Source organism: Homo sapiens, chromosome 2 (genome assembly GCF_000001405.40).
Source record: "Homo sapiens chromosome 2, GRCh38.p14 Primary Assembly".
NCBI lineage: Eukaryota > Metazoa > Chordata > Mammalia > Primates > Hominidae > Homo > Homo sapiens.
Window position 1 is genome coordinate 39779277 of NC_000002.12, and position 23897 is coordinate 39803173.

General features: G+C 39.7%; 1 annotated feature.

Annotated features, from left to right (window-relative positions):
• Nucleotides 10299-11498: an enhancer, noted in NCBI's record as "BRD4-independent group 4 enhancer chr2:40016715-40017914 (GRCh37/hg19 assembly coordinates)". NCBI's record gives its function as "activates an origin of replication core promoter dependent on BRD2, P300/CBP, MED14 and CDK7 cofactors, and independent of BRD4, by STARR-seq in HCT116 cells {active_cell/tissue: HCT116}" and the evidence as "EXISTENCE:reporter gene assay evidence [ECO:0000049][PMID:35650434]".

Consider the following 23897-nt stretch of genomic DNA (forward strand, 5'->3'; position numbering starts at 1 on the left):
GGCCTCGGGCGCGAGCGGCTCGCTCCTGGAGGCGGCGCGCAGGGGCGTGTGATGCCAAAGGGGAGAGGGAGAGGGAGAGGGAGAGGGGGAGGGGGAGAGGGAGGGGGAAGGAGAGGGTGAGAGAGACGGAGAGCCTGGGAGGGTCGCATCAGCCCTCTGTGGCCCCTATGGGTCTTCCTGGTTGACCATCTGTCCCCTCCTTGATTAGGCACCAGAATGGGTTAGAATCACAGGTGGAAGGGTTAGAATTGATAATTCAGTCCAGTTGCCTTATTTTGTAGATTGAGGAAATTAATGCCCAGAGAGGTCAAGAGACAGCGAGTTAGCAGCACAGCTGAGGCTGGAGCCTAGATTTCTCCCTATCTAACATAATGCCTTTTCCTCCATTCCTCCCAACTCCGTCCTCTTCCTGTCCTTCATTCCTCTCCTCTACTCTTCTCATAGAAGGAGCCCTGGTCTGTTTTCACAAAGAATCGGGCCAAACGTTGGAATCTCCAGGACGGAGAGCAGAAGTTCCTGTTCTCTAACAAACGTCTGCGTTCTGAAACAGCTCATATTTCTTGCACTACTTAGTTAACCATCCAGCCATAGATGAATCAATGTGCCATCTAGTTTTGGGCACCTGATTTGAATGGTTCTCCTAACGGTATTTGAAGGCATTTTTCTAAACTCTGAATTTTAAAATGGAAATGAAAATATTACTTGGGAAGCATAGACAGAATCCATGTTACAAGATAAACAGCGTGAAATTAGCTCTGTAGCTGTATATTGAGTCAGTTATACAGAAATGATAAATGCATGTGTGTCTCTGACAAGGGGCTGTCCTGTGCTTCAGAATGGGATGTTAAGGTGAAGAACTGATACTCCCTCACCTCCCCCGACACTCCCACACACACCCCCGCCCCCACCCAGCTCATGCTCTACTGGGCCGTACAGTAAAAATTCTTCATGGAGTCACATAACATGAGCTTTTCCAAGGTTCAGTCCTAAGACTCTTCTGATGCTGCTTTTTATTTTTTATTTTTTGCGACAGGGTCTCCCTCTGTCGCCCAGGCTGGAGCGCAGTGACGTGATCTTGGCTCACTGCAGCCTCCACCTCCTGAGCTCCAGTAATCCTCCCACCTCAGCCTGTCCAGTAGCTGGGACCACAGGCAAGCCCCACCACACCGGGCTAATTTTTGTATTTTTTGTAGAGAAGGGGTTTCACCATGTTGGCCAGGCTGGTCTCGAACTCCTGAGATCAAGCGATCCGCCTGCCTCGGCCTCCCAAAGTGCTGGGATTACAGGCACCCAGCCCTCACACACTACCGTTTTGATGAATTCTTTTCTTGCCCTCAGACACATGTTTTCCTTTTCTGGGCTACTGCCGTAGTTCATTTTAACTTCTCTATACTTTGGGGTTCTGACTGTCAAGTCTGTCTGGGGAGGACAGGAACCCTCTTTAGTTCTCTCTACATTCTGTGCCCAAGATGTTAAGTATGCAGATAGGATGCATTCCATTCAGTTCAACAAATACTGAACACCTATTCTCCGCCAGTCACCACCCTGTCTTGAGGATTCAAAGATGGGTAAGCAAGGGTTTGGACTTCAAGGGCTTAGAGGATGGTGAAGTTGAATGACTCACTGAGGACATACCCGGGAAGCTATGACAGCACCGACAAAAAGGAGGCAGGGAGGGCTTCCTGGACAAAATCGCTCTTGAGTCCAGCATGAAGGATGTGTAAGAGGGAGAAGCAGCAGATGAAAATGAGACGGCGTGTGGGGGGTGGGGAACAGGAAAGCCACGATAGCGGTTAAGTGTTATTAGAGCATAAAGTATATGAGTGGAGTAGATAGAGATGCGGTAGAGCGGTGGGTAGGGGCCCAGTTATGTCAGTACAACCAAAGGCAGCTGAAAAAATGAAATGACCTATTCAGTCCAGCACCGACCAGCAGTGTGCTGGCCTGGGTGAAACCACAGCTGAGCTGAGGCTGCAGTTTTGCAGAGCCAATCGATCTTCCCCTTACTTTCTCCTCTTTCTTCTGATGTCTTTTCCCCTCCAGGAGCCTTTGGTCAGCAAGGTCGGGGCTACTCTTGTTTCATATGTGGGAGTCATGTGCATTTGTTCCTTTTGAACTGTGCTGCAGTATGTCAGCTGTACCAATGCCCTTCACAAAATGCTTGCAGTGCGATGGAATGGGGGAGTTCTGCCTCTTTAGGGAGAAATTAGTTTCGTTTTCTGGTAAGAGAGTTGCCTGGAATTCTCTCCCCCATTACTCAGGTACTCTTTTCTCCATCATCTCTTCTTCTTTAAAAAAGTCTCTTCTGAAAACTATGGATCCCTATAGACAAATTTAGCATATCCAGCTGCAATTTACTGTTCGAATATTACATATTTCAACATGTAGGAAATTGGAAGTCGGCAGGAACAATTTTAGAATGGACAGACTTTTAAGTGGAGGTGTTTTAAGAATTTAGGACAAGAATATTTGCTTTGAGATAGCTCCCTATTTTGGTGCCACTGGCAATTCTTTTAGTTCTTAAAGGTGTATGATGTATATACTTATATATTAAAATGCAAGTGCTATAGATTGTGAAATCCTTGAGGATGGGATGACTTCATCTGGGCATCTGTAGCGAGAACACTGGCTTGCCTGTGGTGGCCTCTCAAATGTATGCCAATAAAAAGTAACTAAATGAAAGGGCAACTAAGGAGGCCCCTCTCAGGAGAATTGCTGTAACTGCCCTATCAGCAGGGGCCTTTGCAAGCAGGATACAGGAATAAGGGCAATGTAGTGAGGCCAATGAAGTAGAGAAGTGAGAGCACAAAGGGGATAGGAGTACCTCCAAAATAAACTTCTTCACAACTTTCCTTTCTAGTTCCTCTCTTCCTCACTATCTCTTCTTCCTCCCTATACACTTTATAAATAATGTTTCTTACCCAGGAATACTCCTCAGAATTACCTGAGAAGTCACCAGTGTCAAGCTTGCCACCCCACTCTCCTGTATTCCAGTACAGTTGAGTAGGGTTGGTGACAAGCCTTGGCCTCTTCTCTCCATGAGATGAAGAACCGTTGCTAGATGCCAAGCAATTCAAGTGCTAACGTCTTCAAAATGCCCACTACTTCCCTTCTCCCAGGCCTCTGCTTATATGGTTCCCTTTGGCTAGAGCGCTCTTCTCTTCCTTTCTTTCTTTTTCTTTGAGGATAAGCTAGAATGCCACATCTTCTCTGGTGTACTTTCCTGCCTTTCTTGTACCCTTTTATGCAATATTTTATACCTTTATCATTCATTTATTCATTCATAAATATTTGTTGAGTTTGTGGCAAATGTGCCAGTTAAATGTTCCAGCCTTTGAGAAACTTTTAAATCAATGGGAGGTAATGGTGACAGGGCTGAATTGCTGAGATGGGCATATAAAGGATGACAATACAGTGTCATATATGGGAATAAAATGAAAGCAACTGGGCCCAGCAACGGTAGCCACTTAATGAAGTTGAATGAATGAGCTTATTCTGAAGCTGAGTAAGCCTTTGTCATGGTTTTGGTTTCTTATCTCCCTTTGAGCACCATATTAGCCCATTCTTGTACTGCTATAAAGAAATGCCTGAGACTGGGTAATCTATAAAGAAAAGAGTTTTAATTGGCCCACTGTTCCGCAGGCTCAACAGGAAGCATGGCTAGGGAGGCCTCAGGAAACTTACATTCATGGGGACAGGGGAAGCAGGCTTCTCTTAGATGGCTGGAGCAGGAGGAAGAGAGAGGATGGGGAGGTGCTGCACACTTTTAAGTAACCAGATCTCATCTCACTCACTGTCGTGAGACCAGCAAGGGGGAACTCCGCCCCCATGATTCAATCACCTCCCACCAGGCCCGTCCTCCAACACTGGGGATTACAATTCGATATGAGATTTGGGCAGGGACACAAATCCAAACCATATCTCTGCCAAGTCTGGGGCATCATCCTTCTGATGGGCCCCACCCACCTCCACAGGTGGAGCCTTTTTGCTAACCAGGGCATAGTCATGTGATCTAGACATTACCAGTGAGCCTCACGTGACTCAGAAATGAGCAATGTGGGGGAAAAGGCTCTTTCCACAATTCATTTTACTTCCTGGGGTATTGTTGGGGTGTCTGACCTTCAGGAACAGCTTCATGAACAGGATTGAGTTCCTGAGGCAGAAGTGGAACTGCTGGGGGTGGTGGTAGTAGTGGCAGCAGTTAGTTTTCTGGTCAGGCCAGTTTCTGAAAGCTTAGCTTCCAGATTGGTTTTCCAGACTGCCCAACAAATGAGTCATACACACACACACACACACACACACACACACACACACACATACACACACACACACACGCACGCTTTACTTTGCTTAATCAGTTAAAGTTAGCATCTATTTCTTGCAACAAGGAATCTTGATTGATACAGGCATCCACTCTTCCCAGGTAGGAGCAGCTAGCTTGGTTTGCTTCTCTCCCTGTGATTTGTATTAGCTTGGTCTCTTCCCCCATTCATTTGTGAGCATTGCACTGTGGAGGTATGATGAACTCCTGCCACGTAGCCCCACAGAGTAACTTGGAAAGAGTAGGATTTTATAAATTTTATGGAATTCAATTGTGTTATGGTATTGTGGTAAAACCACAGATACAGACACATGAATCTGTCAGACAGACACATTCCAACCAAGTCAGTATAGATTGTGAAAAAGAGAATCTACATATTTTTACGACTGCAAGTGCAAGCCATTTGGGAAAAAACTATTGGTCACATACTGATCCTTTAAACCACTTAAGTACACACAATAATCATCTTGAATGGTGCTTCTTTGAACATACAATCAAAAGGAGAAAATTCAGCAGAACATTTCATGGTATATGTAAATACTGTCTTTAAAACAGTATTTGCTAATTAGTGTTTATAGCACTAGTTTAAATGTAGAATCAAAATTCAAAAGATACAATCTTTATGCTCTGATCTGGAGAGATAATTCTTTTTTTATATGTTATTTTTGCTTCAGATCTATAGTGCATGAAATTACTTTGATATACAAGTATAGTTGACTATTTCCAATGTCTTTTCTGAAAAGTGTGGCATGTATTTAATGCATATTTCAAGACATGAGGCTGTTTGATGTGATTTTGTTTAAATATATTTTGAGCTCATAAAACTCAAAATATAGACCTAATGATGCCCCAGTTGGAAGAGAGTATGGATATTATTTCTTGGATATATATGTTGAATGAATGAATGACTATATCTGCAATTTTCTTCAATTTACTTGAATCAACTGTAGTGACTAAATAAAGCCATTTTCTTTTTGCAGTTATGTTCACCTCCCTCAGACTATTGTTTTAATATTCCTTTTCTCTTGTTGCATTCATGATAATATTGACTATGAATTATTATTTTCCTTAGAGGTTTGCTATTACCTAACTTTTTCTATTTCTTGGTACAAAGAAAGCCCCAGAAATGTCCAACATTAGCTAGGATACCTATGTTTTGATATTTATCCTTTTCATTTTCCTGTATGTCTTATTCCATTTTAGTAGATGGTCATTTATTTTGTGTATTTTCTTAGTGGTAACTGAAAAAAATAATTCCCTCAAAACTCAAGCAGATGTGATCTGCAAATAAAAACAACAAAGGGTTAGCTTTTATTTTCTCAAAAACACAAATAGAGTACCTTACTTCATTATGAATGGTATTTGGCAGAATAAAATCTGAAGAGTTTATTAGAACATTGGCTTTATTCAGTCAGTATTGCTCCTGTCGTTGGCATGAAGGAAGAGTAGACTATGGAACAAGCAGACTTACTTATTACATATTTGTCTTTTTATATTTTTCTTTTTGTTGAAGAGTGATAATTACTTGCTGCCCATGGATATCTTGCATGATTTTGAAAAATGGATTTTAGCACCGTTGAAAAAGTGTTCTCTGTTATATCTACACATAATCAGGCCTATCCTCTAATGATTTTCTTTTAAAAAGTCTGAAATCTAATAATTAAAAATTTACTATTTATATTCATATTTAATGTTACAATTTTTGCAATGAGTATGAATTACTTGGCTAAACAGAAAAACAATACAGATACAAAACAAAAGCATACAACCTGAAGCACTGGCTTAGGCAATCATTTCATTCTCTCGTAAAACATCTTTGAAATAAGACATAATGCCTGAAATTATTTGATGCCAGTTGAGCTTTCAGATCACAGACAGGTAACAATATTTGCACCTTCAATCACTATGTATGGCTTTGGTGCTCTGTCTCTCTGATCAGTTTAGATGATATGGAACTTCTGTCTCATAAACTTCGAAATCGAAATGTAGCCAGGTTAAGAAAAATAATTTTAAAAGCTGGTCCTGGAATTCATCTTAGGTACAAAATAGTCTGTTTACGAAAATTTTTTGATGGAGTTTAGTGAGGCTCTGAAGTCATAAACAGAGAAATACAGAGATAATTAAACTGTTCTGCGTAAGAAGTCAAAAGGAGGTAGGAAATACCCTAACGGGGGGGAAAGATCAGATAATGGGGAACCTGTGGAACAGCATCGTGCAAAGCTGAGACCAGTGAGGATGAGCTGGCCGTAAGAGACTCGCTGTGGGGTGTTGGCTGAGAACTTCTAAGAAGGATGTTCAGTGCTCAAATTTGTTTCTGGCACTGCCAGGTTAAACCATCTTTAGTGGTCCAAACTTTCAGTAAAATAAACAAACAAAACACAGCCATTTGCTTCAAATAGTAGGAGTGAAAGTACCAGGGTGATGCACTCAAAGTAAGGTGCTGTGATAAGGAAAAGGAGTGGCATCCTCTGCATGGGTTGTGGAGGTCTTTCAATGGAGTACATTCAGGAGAAGCAGGAAGTCAGAGCACAGGCTGGTAAGGGGCACCTAAGCATGTGGTCTGTCATCAGGGAATGCACAGAGAGGGGTGCTGGGTCATCATTGCCATAGAATGCGGGTGCAAACCAATTTTAAATCAAGATAATCCAGTTGACATCTGAGTTTGGCTGAATTTATTCCTCACTGACAATAGATTTTCTATAAATCAAACCTCTAATGCTTAAGTGCTTATTACTTATTGTTGATAGGTGTGGACAATGCAATCTTGGGCCAACTCAGGGCAGGTTAATTAATGGGGATTATAATCAGGGGTTGGGCCTTATAGTCTCAATTTTATATTTTGTGATTTCTTATAGGTTTTCCAGCACTTTGGGAGGCTGAGGCGTGTGGATCACCTGAGGTCAGGAGTTCGAGACTAGCCTGGCCAACGTGGTAAAACCCAGTCTCTACTAAAGATACAAAAATTAGTGGGGCATTGTAGTGCATGCCTATAATCCCACCTACTCAGGAAGCTGAGACAGAATTGCTTGAACCCGGGAGGTGGAGGCTGCAGTGAGCCTAGATCTCTCCACTGCACTCCAGCCTGGGCAACAGAGTGAGACTCCATCTCAAAAAAAAAATATTTTGTACTAGCACATTGATTAATTGTGTTAATCAGAATTGATTGAATCTGTTATCTGGACATTGTACGTAGATTGCGTTGAATGTTGTATTGGCTGTCTACGTTAGATGCAGGTTACAGTGTAGGTTTTCCAGAGTTTTTGGGCTGGGCACACACACTCTTAAGTTGGCAGCTTTCTTTTTAACAGTGGTGGTGAGCTTCTTTAAATAACGACTTCCTAAATTTGTGAAAGAGTGTGTGTACTGGGAGGGAGAGAAGTGCTGTTACAAAACCCCAAGGCTTCTTGTCTGTGGGTTGAGCACAGCCCGCTACGGTTTTGGAAAGATGGATTTCCTGGAAGACAACTTTGCTACTGAGCATCATCTAGTAAATAAAGTCCTAAGACACAGAAGTCTATAACAAATATTGGAAATTATTGTTAATCCAAACAATCTCAGATATATTTGACATCCATATGTTTTAATTGTATAGCCCAGTTATGTCAAGCAGAGTCATGTACTGCATAAAGATGTTTTGGTCAATGATCAACTGCATATATGATGGTGGTACTGTGAGATCATTATGGAGCTGAAAAATCCCTATTGCCTAATGACATCATAGCTGTCATAACTTCATAGCACAACATGTCACTCATATCACTCATATGTTTGTTACAACATGTTACAAACATATGAGTAACGTGTTGTGCTATGATATTATGCAGGTATAAACAAACCTACACAGACTGCATTGCCAGTCATAAAGAAGTATAGCCCATACAATTATGTACAGTACATAATATTTGATAATGATAATAAATGACTATGTTACTGGCATATGTATTTATTATGCTGTATTTTTAAATCATTATTTTAGAGTATACTGCTTCTGCTTATAAAGAAAAAGTTAACTGTAAAACAGCCTCAGATGGGTCCTTTAGCAGGTATTCTAGAAGAAGAGATTATCATAGAAGATGACTGCTCTGTGTGTGTTATTGCCCCTGAATACCTCCCAGTGGGTAGAGATAAGGAGGTGAAAGACAGTGACTTTGATGATCCTGACACTGTGTAGGTCTAGGCTGATGTATGTGATTGTGTCTTAGATTTTAACAAAAAAGTTTAAAAACTAAAAGAAATAATTTTGAAAATGGAAAAAACTTATAGATTATAAGGATACAAGGATATAAATAAAATAATTTGTAGAGCTGTGTAATATGTTTGTGTTCAAGCTCAGTGTTATCATGAACAGGTTGAAAAGTAAGAAAAATTTAAAAAGTTGATAAAGTAAAAAAGTTACACTAAGCTAAGATTACTTTATTATTGAAAAAAATTTTTATATAAATTTAGGGTATCCTAAGTGTACAGTGTTTATAAAACCTATAGCAATGTACAGTAATATCCTAGGCCTTCACATTCACTCACCACTCACTCACTGACTCACTCACTGACCCAGAACAACTTCCAGTTTTGCAAGCACCATTCATGGCAAGTGCCCTATACAGGTATCATTTTTCATTTTTAATACAGTACTTTTACTGTACTTTTTTCGTGTTCGGATACATAAATAGTCACTATTGTGTTACAACTGCCTACAGGATTCAGCATAATAACATGCTACACAGGTTTGTAGCCTAGGAGCAATAGGCTATACCATATAGCCTAAGTCTGTAGTAGGTTATACTATTTAGTTTTGTGTTAGTATACTCTATGATGTTTGCACAACTATGGAATAGCCTAATTACACATTTATCAGAGCATATTCTCTTCATTAAGTGATGCATGACTGTATTTGCTACTTCAAGCTGGGAATACATCCAATTTTAAAAATTTATGTACATTATTGAAAACTGTGCTAGGTGATAACTTGATTTGGAAATCTCTTGCTCTTCTTCTTCAAGTTATAGTTGGCCTTCTACCCAAACACCGTCGAAGTGATATTCAAAAACTTGAGAAAAAAATTATCAATAATAAGATAAATCTGATAGGGGCAAATGCAAGGGAAAGACTGGTTAGGCACAATGTTAATCCCAATTTAGCTGTTATAACCCTAAACACTAAGAGTGGACCATGAACTGATCACAAATTGGACATTTGTTAACTATTATTTAACATAATATTTTTTCTGATATTTATTATAATAATTTTATTTATTTATTTTTTGAGACAGAGTTTTGCTCTTGTTGCCCAGGCTGGAGTGCAATGGCACAATCTCAGCTCACCGCAACCTCTGCCTCCTGGGTTCAAGTGATTCTCCTGCCTCAGCCTCCCAAGTAGCTGGGATTACAGTCATGCACCACCACGCCCAGCTAATTTTGTATTTTTCGTAGAGATGGGGTTTCTCCATGTTGGTCAGGCTGGTCTTGAACTCCCGACCTCAGGTGATCTGCCTGCCTCGGCCTCCCAAAGTGCTGGGATTACAGGTGTGAGCCACTATGCCCAGCCAATAATTTCATTTTTAACATGAGTATGAAATTAGAGAAGTTCAAGGAAAAAAATAACTAAAAAAAAATAAATCTTACATGAAAGGTTAAAGGAGGTGAGATTGTTTAGCTTGCTGAAATGAAGGCTAAGAAAAGCCTTAAATATATGCAGTTTTAAGAGTAGGTTTGTTAGTGGGTTACTGGCCTGTTTACACAGAGGATGGGAAGAAAGGCTTGGGCTTAATAACTCAAAGCTTTTTTAAGCCTTCTAAGTTCCAAGGTCTCTTTCTGGCTCTCTGGTCTGCTGATTTCATTCCCATGAAGGTGTCATCTGGCTGTCCCAGAATGAAGCAACTGCTTGTTTGCCATTTGTTTATCACAGTCTAAGCAAGGTAAGTGTCCCCAGATTAGGTTGTAGAGGGTTAAATTAAAGAACAAAGACAGATAGTTACTGATAAGCTGGGCAGAGATTATCTGCTTCCAGAGATTTCAATAAATGAAAACTATCCTCTGTTCTCCCACAGGCTCTTTAGTCTTAGTCCTTGATTAGGACCTAGCATATTAGTTTTTTGTTTTATTTTATAAATTAGGTAAAAAATACACAACATGAAAGTTATCTTAACCTTTTTTTTTTTTTTTGAGACAGAGTCTTGCTCTTTTGCCCAGGCTGGAGTGCAGTGGCGTGATATTGGCTTGCACAACCTCTCCCTCCCGGGTTCAAGCAATTCTCCTGCCTCAGCCTCCCGAGTAGCTGGGATTACAGGCACCTGCCATCATGCCAGGCTAATTTTTGTATTTTTTTAGTAGAGGTGGGGTTTCACCATGCTGGCTAGACTGGCTTCGAACTCCTGACCTCAGGTGATCTGTCTGCCTTGGCCTCCCAAAGTGCTGGGATTACGGGCATGAGCCACTGTGCCTGGCCTATCTTAACCATTTTTAAGTGTACAGTTCTGTAGTGTTAACTACATTCACATTAAACAGATCTCTAGAACTATCGGGACAACCAGACCCCAGTATTTCAAGGTAGGTTCTTTTCTATTTTTCCCTAAGTATCGGCCAGAGTGAGAAATAAAGAGAAAGACTACAAAAGAGAGAAATTTTACAGCTGGGCCTCTGGAGGTGACATCACATGTCGGCAGGTTCCGTGATGCCCCTTGAGCCGCAAAACCAGCAAGTTTTTATTAGGGATTTCAAAAGCGGAGGGGGGTATGAACAGGGAGTAAGTCACAAAGATCACATGCTTTGAAAGGGCAATAAAAGATCACAAGGGCAGACAGGCAGAGCAAGATCACAAGGCCAGGGTGAAATTAGAATTACTGATGAGGTTCCATGTCCTGCTGGGCACGCATTGTCATTGATAAACATCTTAACAGGAAACAGAGTTCGAGAGCTGACAACTGGTCTGACTAGAATTCGCCAGGCTGGAATTTCCTAATCCTAGCAAGCCTGAGGGCGCTGCAGGAGACCAGGGTGTATTTCATCCCTTATCTTCAACTGCATAAGACAGACAGTCCCAGAGCGGCCATTTTAGAGATCTCCCTCTGGGAATGCATTCCTTTCCCAGGGTTATTCCTTGCTGGGAAAAGAATTCAGCGATATTTCTCCTATTTGCTTTCTGCAAGAAGAGAAATATGACTCTGTTCTGCCAGGCCCCGCAGGCAGTCAGACCTTATGGTTATCTCCCTTGTTCCCTGAAAATCGCTGTTATTCTGTTCTTTTTTAGGATGCCCAGATTTCATATTGTTCAAACACAATGTTTTACAAACAATTTGTACAGATAACACAATCATCACAGGGTCCTGAGGCAACATACATCCTCAGCTTACAAAGATGACAGGATTAAGAGATTAAAGTAAAGGCAGGCATAGGAAATTATAAGAGTATTGATTGGGGAAGTGATAAATGTCCATGAAATCTTCACAATTTATGTTCAGAGATTGCAGTAAAGACAAGCGTAAGAAATTATAAAAGTGTTAATTTGGGGAACTAATAAATGTCCGTGAAATCTTCACAATTTATGCTCTTCTGCCGCGGCTTCAACCGGTCCCTCCATTCGGGGTCCCTGACTTCCCGCAACATAGAACCTTTTCATCTTGCAAAACTGAAACTCTGTGCCCATTGAACAATAACTCTCCATTCATCCCTTCTCCCAGCCCCTGTTATATTGGGTTTGATGGATTTTCTTTACATATTTGTCTCCTCACATTAGATTCCGACTTATGGAATTTGTTCATTTTTTTGTCCCCAGTGCCTATGACTTAGTAGGTGTGTAATAAGTGTCCACTGAATAAATGTAAGCATGAACAACAGAATGAGTCTTTTCAAGTAGAGGTGTGGTAATGTGTCCAGAGTTGGCTCCTGTTGGTGGATTCATGGTCTTGCTGACTTAAAGAATGGAGCCGTGGACCTTCACGGTGAGTGTTACAGCTCTTAAAGATGGCACAGACCCAAAGAGTGAGCGGTAGCAAGGTTTATTGTGAAGAGCAAAAGGACAAAGCTTCCACAGCATGGAAGGGGACCCACGAGAGTTGTCGCTGCAGGCTGGGGTGGCCAGCTTTTATTCCCTTATTGTCCCCTCCTATGTTCTGTTTCTGTCCTATCAGAGTGCCCTTTTTTCAATCCTCCCCATGATTGGCTACTTTTAGAATCCTGCTAATTGGTGCATTTTATAGAGCGCTGATTGGTGCATTTTACAGAGTGCTGATTGGTGCATTTTACAGAGCACTGATTGGTGCGTTTTACTGACTGCTGATTGGTGCATTTTACAGAGCACTGATTGGTGCGTTTTACAATCCTCTTGTAAGACAGGAAAGATCCCCAAGTCCCCACTCCACCCAGGAAGTCCAGCTGGCCTCACCTCTCAGTATTAATAATAAATTGAAGGTGTGGCTGGCACTGTTTTTTGCTTGCTTAACCCCTCCCCTTTACTTCTGTTTTTAACAAAACCCAGATTTCACTCATGATGACAATGTGCCTAGCCCTCACAATGATTCTTGGGTGGTCTGGTCCGCCTGCACAATATAATAATCCAGATGGCTTTTAAAAATACAGATTCCTGCTTTCCCTCCATGAATCTAATTTAATTGGTCAGAGGTGGGGCCTAGGCATTAAGAATTTAAAAATCTCCCACAAGGCTAGACAATCATTGTCAGGCAATTGAGTTCTTGACCAGATATATTTGCTTCCCAGCGTTTTTAATCCCCATGGATGGTCATGTTACCTGGTTCTGGTCAGTGAAACTTTGCTGGATTTTCTGGAAAACTTTTTGCTTTTCTTCTAAAAGGAACAGATGTCAGGAAACCCAGTGTTGCATCACCTGCTTCTTTTCTGTCTTGAGTGCAGGTATGAAGCCTTATGCAGTGGTAGCCATCTTGCAACCATGAGGCACTTGACTAAGCAAAAAGAAAAAAAAAGAAAAAAAAATCCAACAAGGTAAGAATGGGAAGCAGAAAGTTGGACAGAGCCTGGACCCTAAATAACATGATCAAACCCTGGGCCTGCCTACCTTTTCTTGTTAAGTAAACAATGAATGTCGTTATAGTTTAATCCCCTCAAACCTTCTATTATTACTTGCTTACAAAAGCATTCTGATCTGAAACAAAGAATATCCTGCACCAAGCTCATAAACAAAGCAGATACATCCCTGGGATGAAATGGTTTTGAGAAAACCTGGCCAAAGCTCTATAGCTATTTGCCCAAATGTATAACAGTTATTACAAAAGTCCGTGCTATTTCTCATGAAACATTCCCTGAGGCCATTACCAAAAACAGACCACGGTTGGATATGTTATAATTCTTACTCAGTTTTGCACTTGTGGTTTTATATTTCTAGTTATTAATATAAGTATGGTAGAAGGGCATATCTAATTTAAAAAAAATATTCATGCATTGAACAATTAGTGAGCATCCACTCTATGACAGGCACTGTTTTAGCTAAGTATACAGAAAACATTAGTAAACAAAACAAATATTCCTGTCCTTAAAAAATCCCTGTGGCATTTATATTCTAATTGGGGGTAAAGGGAGGGAAGAAAATAAAGACATGTGGTGTGTTAGAAGGTGAAAATGCAACAAACAAAAAAATAAAAAATAACCAAAAACTAAAATAAAATCTGAGGAGGCTAAGGGTTATTAGAGATATAGGAAAGAGAACGGTTTACAGTTTTAAGTCAGGTTGAGAGGGCAGCCCTTACTCACAAGATTTTACTTTTGAAACATCTTTAAATACTCAGATAAAAACATAACTATAAGGAATCAAATGATATAATCTTAAATACTAGTTTCATTTTCTGAATACGTAACATAATGGCCATATGTTCTGCAAAGGGCAAATTAAGTTTAAATCTGTTAAACACAGATAAGGGAAAAAACTATGATCCTTGATTGTGCTAAGACAGCAAGTCCTCCTATCTACCTCATATTCTCATTAGACATTTCAAGATGCATAATTTTTGAAAACCAAACATTGGTATGATCTTCTGCAGTTTGCATTTACAGAATTAAAAACAATGGTTTTTTAAAAATAGTAATTTGTTTGTTTTAGGTACTGGCAATATGGTGGTGAACAAGCCTAAAGAGGCCCATGCTCATGGAGCTAAAAGGGCATTGCAATGGCAACATGTTGCTCTTTGGGAACAGGAAAAGGATACAACCAGTAGTAGGCATTCCGGGGACCTCTGACAGGTGCCACTCTTGTTACTCTTGGCTTTCTGTTTTCCTTTAGTAGATTTAAAAGTAGTCTGTGAATCCCCAAGAAAACCCCACAACCAGGAATACAAACAGTTGGGAAAGAAGCAGATGTAAGAGTTAGTTTCTCCATGGAGTTTTCCTAAGATTTTACCTCAATTAATTGCTTGAGATATTTATAAAAATCGTGTACATAAGTTATCAATTTCTATGTATAATATTTTAAGAGGTTTTTAACAATTACTCTGAGACAATGGTAAAAAGCTAATTACTTAAAGAAATGCCAAGGTCTCCATAGTCCTGGGCTTGAATATTGCTGATATTTAATTATTGTCATCTAAAACTAAAGGTTCTTATGGGAAGCCCACTGGGGTAAATGCTTTACTAGCTTCCCCTTGGCTTATTTTTATAAAAAAGAGTCTTTTAAAAGTGTACTTGGGGGATGGAGAATAGAACACCAAAAACCAAAGAGAAGGTTATTCTTTTCTAAAAATAGCCATGATGGTGGATACAGCTTCACCTTCAGCCAAATCACAGCAGTATATGGGGGTCCCCATGTCTTCTTTAGGGCACCTGGTAATCATATGATATTACTTATTTAAAAAATTATGCAGAACAAACAGAAGTCTCTAGAGGTCAGGGCCTTCAAGGGAAATTGTCTAAGGATAGTTGGTGTTTCATGGCTATGTGTTTTCAGCCCAGTTTGTTGTTATGGAGAGAGAAGAGAATAAAAAATGTTCTGTTTAACCTGCTCTGTGTTCTGTTTTCATCCCTGAGTTTTTATGATGGCCTTGTGGTCTGAAGTTTTATGATGCAAAATGAAAACTGTTTATTTTACTCAGACTTCAACATCTGACAGAGGCAAATCATCCAATCTGACATCCTAGATAAGGTGTAAACAGAACTTTGATAAGATACAACCTGAGGAACAAGTTTAAAAAATAGTAATTGCCTCTGGAAACAGTTTTTTATAAGCATCTTCCTGTTTATTCCATTTGATTGCATTAGCACTAGCATTGCCTACAGAAATGAAATTTTATAATGTATTTTTTTTTTACTGTTCAACACAGTTCAGTAAATAAATGTCAGAAGGAAATCTGCATCAAATTTCAAGTTGCTTGGTGCTGCTTCTTTGATTTTGAAAATGAACACAGCTATATGTTTTGTGTGTGGTAGGCCCATTTCAATAATAATATTTAGAATTCAAAGAATATCTTTTTCCTATACATCTTTGGAAAACGTGAATTGGTAGATGCAGGGATTCTAATTACTTTTTTTGGAGTTAGTAGTATAATTTATTTAAATACAGGTTTTAATACAACCAGTGTAACATTTCACAGAAAAAATGATATGTCAAGCTATTAATTATTTGCAGTTTACTTTGGAAATACTTCTAAATCATTGTGTGAATTGAAATGACTAGTTGTAGTAATTATTGAGTAGGCTTGATGAGTTAATAGAACAAGTTGTTCTATGAGGACTTACAAGCACAAGAGAAAAAAAAAGGCTTAAGTAAAATGATAGATTAAAGGTTTAGGATGAACACAACTAACACATATGTAGAGTCCCATATGCCATGAAGACCATGAGGCACAATGTCAGCCTTGAGTCAAACAGTCCTATTTATAGAAATGATTCCTAAGTAGAAATTTCTCACAATAAAGATTCAGAACCTTTTAAGAAACTTCACCTAAGATGAGTGTATTAGCCCGTTCTTGCATTGCTATGAAGAAATACCTGAGACTGGGTAATTTATAAAGAAAAGAGGTTTAAATTGCTCATGGTTCTACAGGCTGTATAGGAAGCTTGGTGCTGGCATCTGCTCAGCTTCTGGGGAGGCCTCAGGAAATTCATAATTATGGTGGAAGGCGAAGGGGAAGCAGGCATGTCACATGGCCAGAGCAGGAGCAAGAGAGTGATGGAGTTGTGGGGGGTTGCACACACTTTTAAATGACTAGATCTTTCATGAACACTTACACACACTCTAAACCATTCATGAGAAACCGCCCCCATGATCCAATCAGCTTCCACCAGGCCCCACCTCCAACACTGGGGATTACATTTCAACATGAGATTTGGGTGGGGACACATATCCAAACTATATTAATGAGGAATGTATTTTATTCTTCCCCTCTAGGCTTCCTTTGTTACAGAGCTTATGGTTCTTGGAGTTTGAATGTTCAAATTAAAAAGTGTATCCAGAGACATGGAAAGTAAACTTTCCCCACTGGCATCATTAATTACATATTCTGGACCCAAGTTCTGCTTGTGAACCTGATCTTGGAGTCATGAGCTTTGCCAATTTTTCTTGCTCTATTTTTATTTCTGTTGCCTGTATGATTTTTTTTTAAAAAAAGGTCTCCTAAATTTTGGTGAAACTTTGCTACTTGTGTTAAACAAAATTTAGAGGCGGCCTTTGGTTTGGACTGAGATCCTGCACTAGGTCTGACAGGCCAAACCCAAATGGAGTCACTCATGCTGAAGCTCCACACCACCAAGCTGAAACTAAGTTGTTTATCTGACCTTCCCAGAAATAGAGAGAGAGCTATAATAGCCAAATCCCCAAGCAGGCTGGTTTTAGTTGGCATGATAAGGAAGTCCCTTCTGCTTTAGCCTTCACAAGGAAAGTAACTTTGAAATGACCAATCTACTTTTTGTTCTGTTGCTGCTTTATTCAGCTCTTTTCTATCTGTAAAGCCAACCTCCTCTGCTCAGCTCATGGGAACACTCATCCTGTCTTACAGAATGAGGTGTTGCCCGATTCTAGAATCACAAATAAAAGCCAATTTATATCGTTAAACTAAATTTGTTGTAATTTTGTCTTTTGACACTTTTGAAGTCTGATAATCCTATTTTTATATCTTTTCATCCCTGCTCAGAATGAGGTATAGCTTTTTGACCTACACCATCATGGTTGGAGTTAAGAGAAAAGATTCTTTATACTTCTATTTTAAAAATTGATTTCCTACCGTAGAGGTCCTTCATGCTAACAGCTTGCTTTCTATGGTACTGATCATTAAAATATTTCTGCCCCAACTATCATTTCTGACAGTCATTTTTAGGAGGCGTTCGAAGAACTAAATAAAAGATAGCCTCCTAAATTTGGATTTCTTTACATGTCGAACTCTATTATCTCCTTATTACAGATATCAGGCTCTTTCCTCTGTCCCCTCCCCAACAACATTTATTTCTATACATGGATATTCTCCTTTAGTGAGAAAATAGTGGATAGCAGTAGACTGAACTGACTGGTTCAGCTGCTAGAACAGGAAAAAGATAACAAAAGAAAATAATCTTATAGCACATTGTTTCTGGAGTCATGGTGGTTTCCCAATTATTTGTAGTAACCCCAATCGATATGTAATTCAATAGTATCTATTGAAAACTTCCTATGTGAAAACACATAGGAAGTATGCTAAACTCTGTTTGCATTTACATTATCTTACTTATTACTCCCAGTAACTCTGTGATCAGGTGGATATTATTATTTGCCTCATTTTACAGATCAGGAAATTGGGGCAAACTGTAATTAGGTGACTTCCTCCAAAGATACACACTGTTAAGGGGCAGAAGAGAAAATAAGACTTTTGCTGTTTGGTGTCTAAGCCCAAACTCTTACCTGCTATACTTCACTCTTTCTCTTTTAAGAGATGTGCAGCAAGTGCTTACTAAGAACTTGTTGACAAATGTTCACAGTTGCATGGAGATATTTTACTTAGACATCCACATTCATTTAAATTAGCATTGAAGATCTGTATATGTAACTGTCACACTCAAAAGCATTTTTTTTTTAATTATACTTCAAGTTCTGGGGTACATGTGCACAACGTGCAGGTTTGTTACATAGGTATACATGTGCCATGTTGGTTTGCCGCACCCGTCAACTCGTCATTTGCATTAGGTGTTTCTCCTAATGCTAACCCTCCCCCAGCCCCCCACCCCACAACAGGCCCAGGAGTGTGATGTTCCCTACTCTGTGGCCAAGTGTTCTCATTTTTCAATTCCCACCTATGAGTGAGAACATGCGGTGTTTGCTTTTCTGTCCTTGTGATGCTTTGCTCAGAATGATGGTTTCCAGCTGCATCCATGTTCCTGCAAAGGACATGAACTCATCCTTTTTTATGGCTAAATAGTATTCCATGGTGTATATGTGCCACATTTTCTTAATCCAGTCTATCATTGATGGACATTTGGGTTGGTTCGAAGTCTTTACTATTGCAAATAGTGCCACAATAAACATTCGTGTGCATGTGTCTTTATAGTAGCATGATTTATAATCCTTTGGGTATATACCCAGTAATGGGATGGCTGGGTCAAATGGTATTTCTAGTTCTAGATCATTGAGGAATCACCACACTGTCTTCCACAATGGTTGAACTAGTTTACACTCCCACCAACAGTGTAAAAGCATCCCTATTTCTCTACATCCTCTCCAGCATCTGTTGTTTCCTGACTTTTTAATGATCGCCATTCTAACTGGTGTGAGATGGCATCTCATTGTGGTTTTGATTTGCATTTCTCTGATGACCAGTGATGATGAGCATTTTTTCATGTGTCTATTGGCTGCATGAATGTCTTCTTTTGAGAAGTGTCTGTTCATATCCTTTGCCCACTTTTTGATAGGGTTGTTTGTTTTTTTCTTGTAAATTTGTTTAAGTTCTTTGTAGATTCTGGACATTAGCCCTTTGTCAGATGGGTAGATTGCAAAAATTTTCTCCCATTCTATAGGTTGTCTGCTCACTCTGATGGCAGTTTCTTTTGCTGTGCAGAAGCTCTTTAATTTAATTACATCCCATTTGTCTATTTTGGCTTTTGCTGCCGTTGAAAAGCATTTTCTTAAGATATAGATTTTCATCTTCTTTGGTCCTTATGTTTGTCTTATTCTCTAATATTGTGGCTAGGGTTATATTTTGGACAGCTGTGGCATTCATGCAGTGAGGGTGGAATTAGAGCTTTACAGGAATCAATCTGATGCACTTTTTGGAAGATATGTAGACTCTCTAGGTGTAAAATGCTCTCTAGGTATGAAATGGTTGAGCTGGTTAATTTTATTGTTTAAATCTTCTGTAGCAAGTGCTGGCAAGCTTTCCTTAAAGGACAGGTAGTATTTTGGGTTTTTCAGACCATATAGTTTCTGTCATAACTACTCAACTCTGCTGCTGTAATGCAAAAGCAGCCATAGCAAATATGTAAATGAATGGGCATAGTTGTCTTCCAAGAAAATTTTATTTATAAATATAGGTAGCCAGCTTGGAAGCTAGAATTTGCTGACTTGTTCTATTACTTTGTTTATTTGTTGTCTATCTCAAGGGTTCCCAAACCATGGGCCATAGACCTGTACAGGTCTGCAGCCTGTTAGAAACTGGGTTGCACAGCAGGAGGTGAGTGGCGGTGAGTGAGCTTTACCACCTGAGCCTTGCCTTCTGTCTGATCAGCGGTAGCGTTAGATTCTCATAGCACAGTGCAAGGAATCTAGGTTGTGCACGCCTTATGAGAATCTAGTGCCTGATGATCTGAGGTGGAACGGTTTCCCCTGAAGACTATGAACTCTGAGTCAGGCTGCCTGAGTTTGAATCTTGGTGCTGCCTCTTGTTCAGTTTCCTTACCCTCTCTGTGCCTCAGTATCCTCATCTGTAAAATGGAGTCTCACTTCTCTCTGACTGCAGCTTCCAGCCCCATCTTCCCTGAAGAAATGTCATTTATTATCATCCAGTTTTACTTCTGGATTATTATGCATGTTCATTCACTTTTTCTGCCTTTGCTTTTTTAGATAAAATATACTTTACTGAATTATTTGCTCACCTTAACTTCCATGTATCTGGCATTACTATTTTTTTCTTTTTGTTACAGTCCTTTTTCTAAGGGTGTTTTTGCAGTAGGTCTTGTGTGGTAAATCTTCTGAGGCTTTGCATACAAAGAATATCCTTATTGTCTTCTCATATTTAAATGATAGATTACTGGACATGAAATTCTACCTTTAATGTAATTTTCCTGAATCACTTTAAAAATATTCTTCCATTGTCTCTAGTGTAAATGTTGAGAAGACGGGTAACAATCTCAACTTTGTTCTTTATAGTTGAATTGCTCTTTCTTTCTGAAAGCTTTACTCATTTAATCTCAAATTTTGAAGTGCTTCAGTTTTTTCCCATTGATGTCTAGATTTTGGGTTTTCTTTACCCTCTCTCTTCTGTAAGGTCCTTGGCACTCTGAGTCTTTACAAACTGAGGTGTTTCATCTTTCATTCTGAGAAATTGGCAGTCATTAATTTTTCAAATATTTACTTCCTTCTGTTTACTTTGTTTTCTTATTCTGGGACTCCCATTACATTATTATACAGATGGTAACACTATTCTTATATCTTTTCATGCATTCATATCCTTCATCTATTCCATCTGTTACTCCATTCCTGAATCCTTCTGGTATGGTTGTTTTCTTTGGTCTTCCAACTCTCTAAGGTAGCTTTCTGCTCTATCCATGCTGCCTGTCATGGTTCTTCACTGATTCTTTAAAATTCTTGTTTCTGCATCATGTAACCAATACTTGATTTTATGCTTACCTTAAATTCCTAATCTATTTGTTCCATGAATTAATCTCTGCTATGTATTATGGTTTGTTGTCTTGTTTTACAGCACTTATGCCCTTCTAATGCCATTTTCCTTCCAAGCCTATATTTCTCTGGGGATATTTGCTACCTTGGCTTATAATGAGTATTTCGGGAGAGGAGTCCAAGCTTAGGCCTCAGTTTGCCAATCTCCTGGTGAATTTGGGATGCCATTTCTTCCCCACCTTCTGGATCCCCAAAGATCTCTTATGGGTTTTGTGTTAGCATTTTAAATGCACTTGATTCTCTCTAGCTGTTTTTTTATTTTAGTTTGTTTGTTTTGCCTTAAGATGAGGTTCAGGATAGAATGCCACAAGTGTACATCCTTTATAATATTGCCGGTTCTTAAGCTATATCGCTGTTTTGAAAAGGATAGTGTATAACCTGGTCTCTTTCCAAATTTCAGTGATTTGGATAATTGACGCATATTACTGTGTAATCGACTTGGCCATACCAATCACTGTCTCTGGGGACTGCTGACATGCCTAGAATGCTATATTGCAGTTCAGTGTGCCTGCAATATATGGATTTGGCTTAAATTTTCTTGTCTTGTTGGGCTCAAGAAGGCCAATACTCTATTCGCAAGGGCATAATTCATGTACTTGAATGATGATTTTCTGGTTCTACCTTTAGTAATCCTTACCAGTCTTGATAATATACTATGACAGGAAAGTCACATCTTACAATTTATGTTATTTTAATAAAAAGTTTAAATTGAATTTTACTTCCATTGATTTCTGCAAAGTGAAGCAATTCACTTTAGCATTATAAATTCTGCACCTACACCAGGTCTGTCAAGCAATAATGATGAAGAACGATGCTCTTTCTGGTTTTTTCATTTTCATGCAACTTCCTACTTTTCTAAGTCTTCTTGTGGGGAGATTTGCTTGAGAGTTTGATGGGGTATTTTACCACCAGCCTTATGGCACTCACGTAATATCTGTCTTTTGGAAGGAAAAAAATTGGATTTAAACGTAGGTTAAATTGCTTTCTTTTTGAAGAAGCTCCTGTTGAGGTTCTGAATGATGGTTAATTTAATTGATAAAATAAGTAGTGTTAAAGTGCTGAAATTAATTTTCAAGATGGCATGTAGAATCTTTCTTAAAGGTCTTTAAATACAGGATATATTTTTATCTTTCTGAGGTGGCTGGCTTAGGGGTATTTTTAAAGATGGAAGGGTTGAGATGATATATTTTCTAACTCTATTTGAGCCCTTTGATTGAAACTGCTCTCCCATTTTAGCTGAAAAATGCACCTTTAAAAAAGTGCTTTTGTGCAATTGATACCAAAGATAGACATACAGCCTTGAAAGAATGATATGCCATCTGAAGTTTTGTATTAACCAATTTTTTTCCCCTATTGCTCCCAATCATTTGTATCTCCTCCTATTACTCTTTATTTTTGTCCTAACAACGCTTGACTCATTCTCTCTATTCCTCCCTAAACTTGGTATAGACTTTATATATTTTTAGAGAGTTGTCTTCTATGTACACTCACTTCACCCCTTCTAATCTGTCCTCCCCCCACACCTCAAATAAACATGTCATAATGGTCTAGACTAAAACAAAAAATATTTCTGTGGAAGTGGCCCGACTTTTCCCGAGCTTTCTCAATTATTGTAATACTCTTGACCCCTTTCTGCCCCCTCCTGCATTTCTCTCAGGGAAAAAGCGAATTATTTTCCTGATTAAACTGGGAACAGGAAGTGGGCATGTTTGAGTGTTCAACAGGTTATCCCTTTCCATTTTCTTGTGAGACCCTTCTGTGTTAGGTCATTCTTGCATTGCTATAAAGAACTACTTGAGACTGGGTAATTTATAAAGAAAAGAGGTTTAATTGGCTCATGGATCTGCAAGCTGAACAAGCATGGCACCACCATCTGCTTTGCTTCTGGGGAGGCCTCAGGGAGATTTTACTCATGGAGGAAGGTAAAGTGGGAGCAGGCACTTCACATGGAGAAAGCAGGAGCAAGAGAGTGGAGTGGGGGAGATGCCATACTTTGCAACAACCAGATCTTGCAAAAACTCACTTACTATCTCGGGGACAGCACCAAGCCATTAGGGATCCACCCCCATGACCCAAACACCTCCCATCAGGTCCCACCTCCAACACTGGAGATTGCATCTCAGCATGAAATTTCGAAGGGACATCCAAACGTACTACCTTCTTCCATTTTCTCATGGGATCCAGTTGACCAAGTTGCCCCAAGAGAGCATGCATTTTTTTCTGCTCCTCCAAGCTGCAAAGTTGTTGTTGTTGTTTTGAGACAGAGTCTTGCTCTGTCACCCAGGCTGGAGAATAGTGGCAAAATCTCAGGTCACTCAAGTGGAAAAGTTTACAGGGCAACTTGCCTCCATCTGTGCCCAAGGAGAAACTTGATTTTTCCAGCACTTCCTGCATGTGGGTGGAGAAGTCTTTCTAATTCTGAGGTTCTGTCCATTTATTGAAATTACTAAGTGTTTGGATTTAAATCTACCATCTTGGCCGGGTGTGGTGACTCACTCCTGTAATCTCAGCGCTTTGGGAGGTCGAGGCAGGTGGATCACTTGAGGCCAGGACTGGCCAACATGGTGAAACCTGGACAACATGGTGAAACCCCGTCTCTACTAAAAATAAAGAAATTAGCCAGGCGGAGTGGCGCATGCCTGTAATCCCAGCTACTGAGTAGGCTGAGGCACAAGAATCACTTGAGCCTGGAGGCGGAGGTTGCAGTGAGCCAAGATTGTGCCACGCACCCCAGCTTGGGAACGGAGCAAGACTCTGTCTCAAA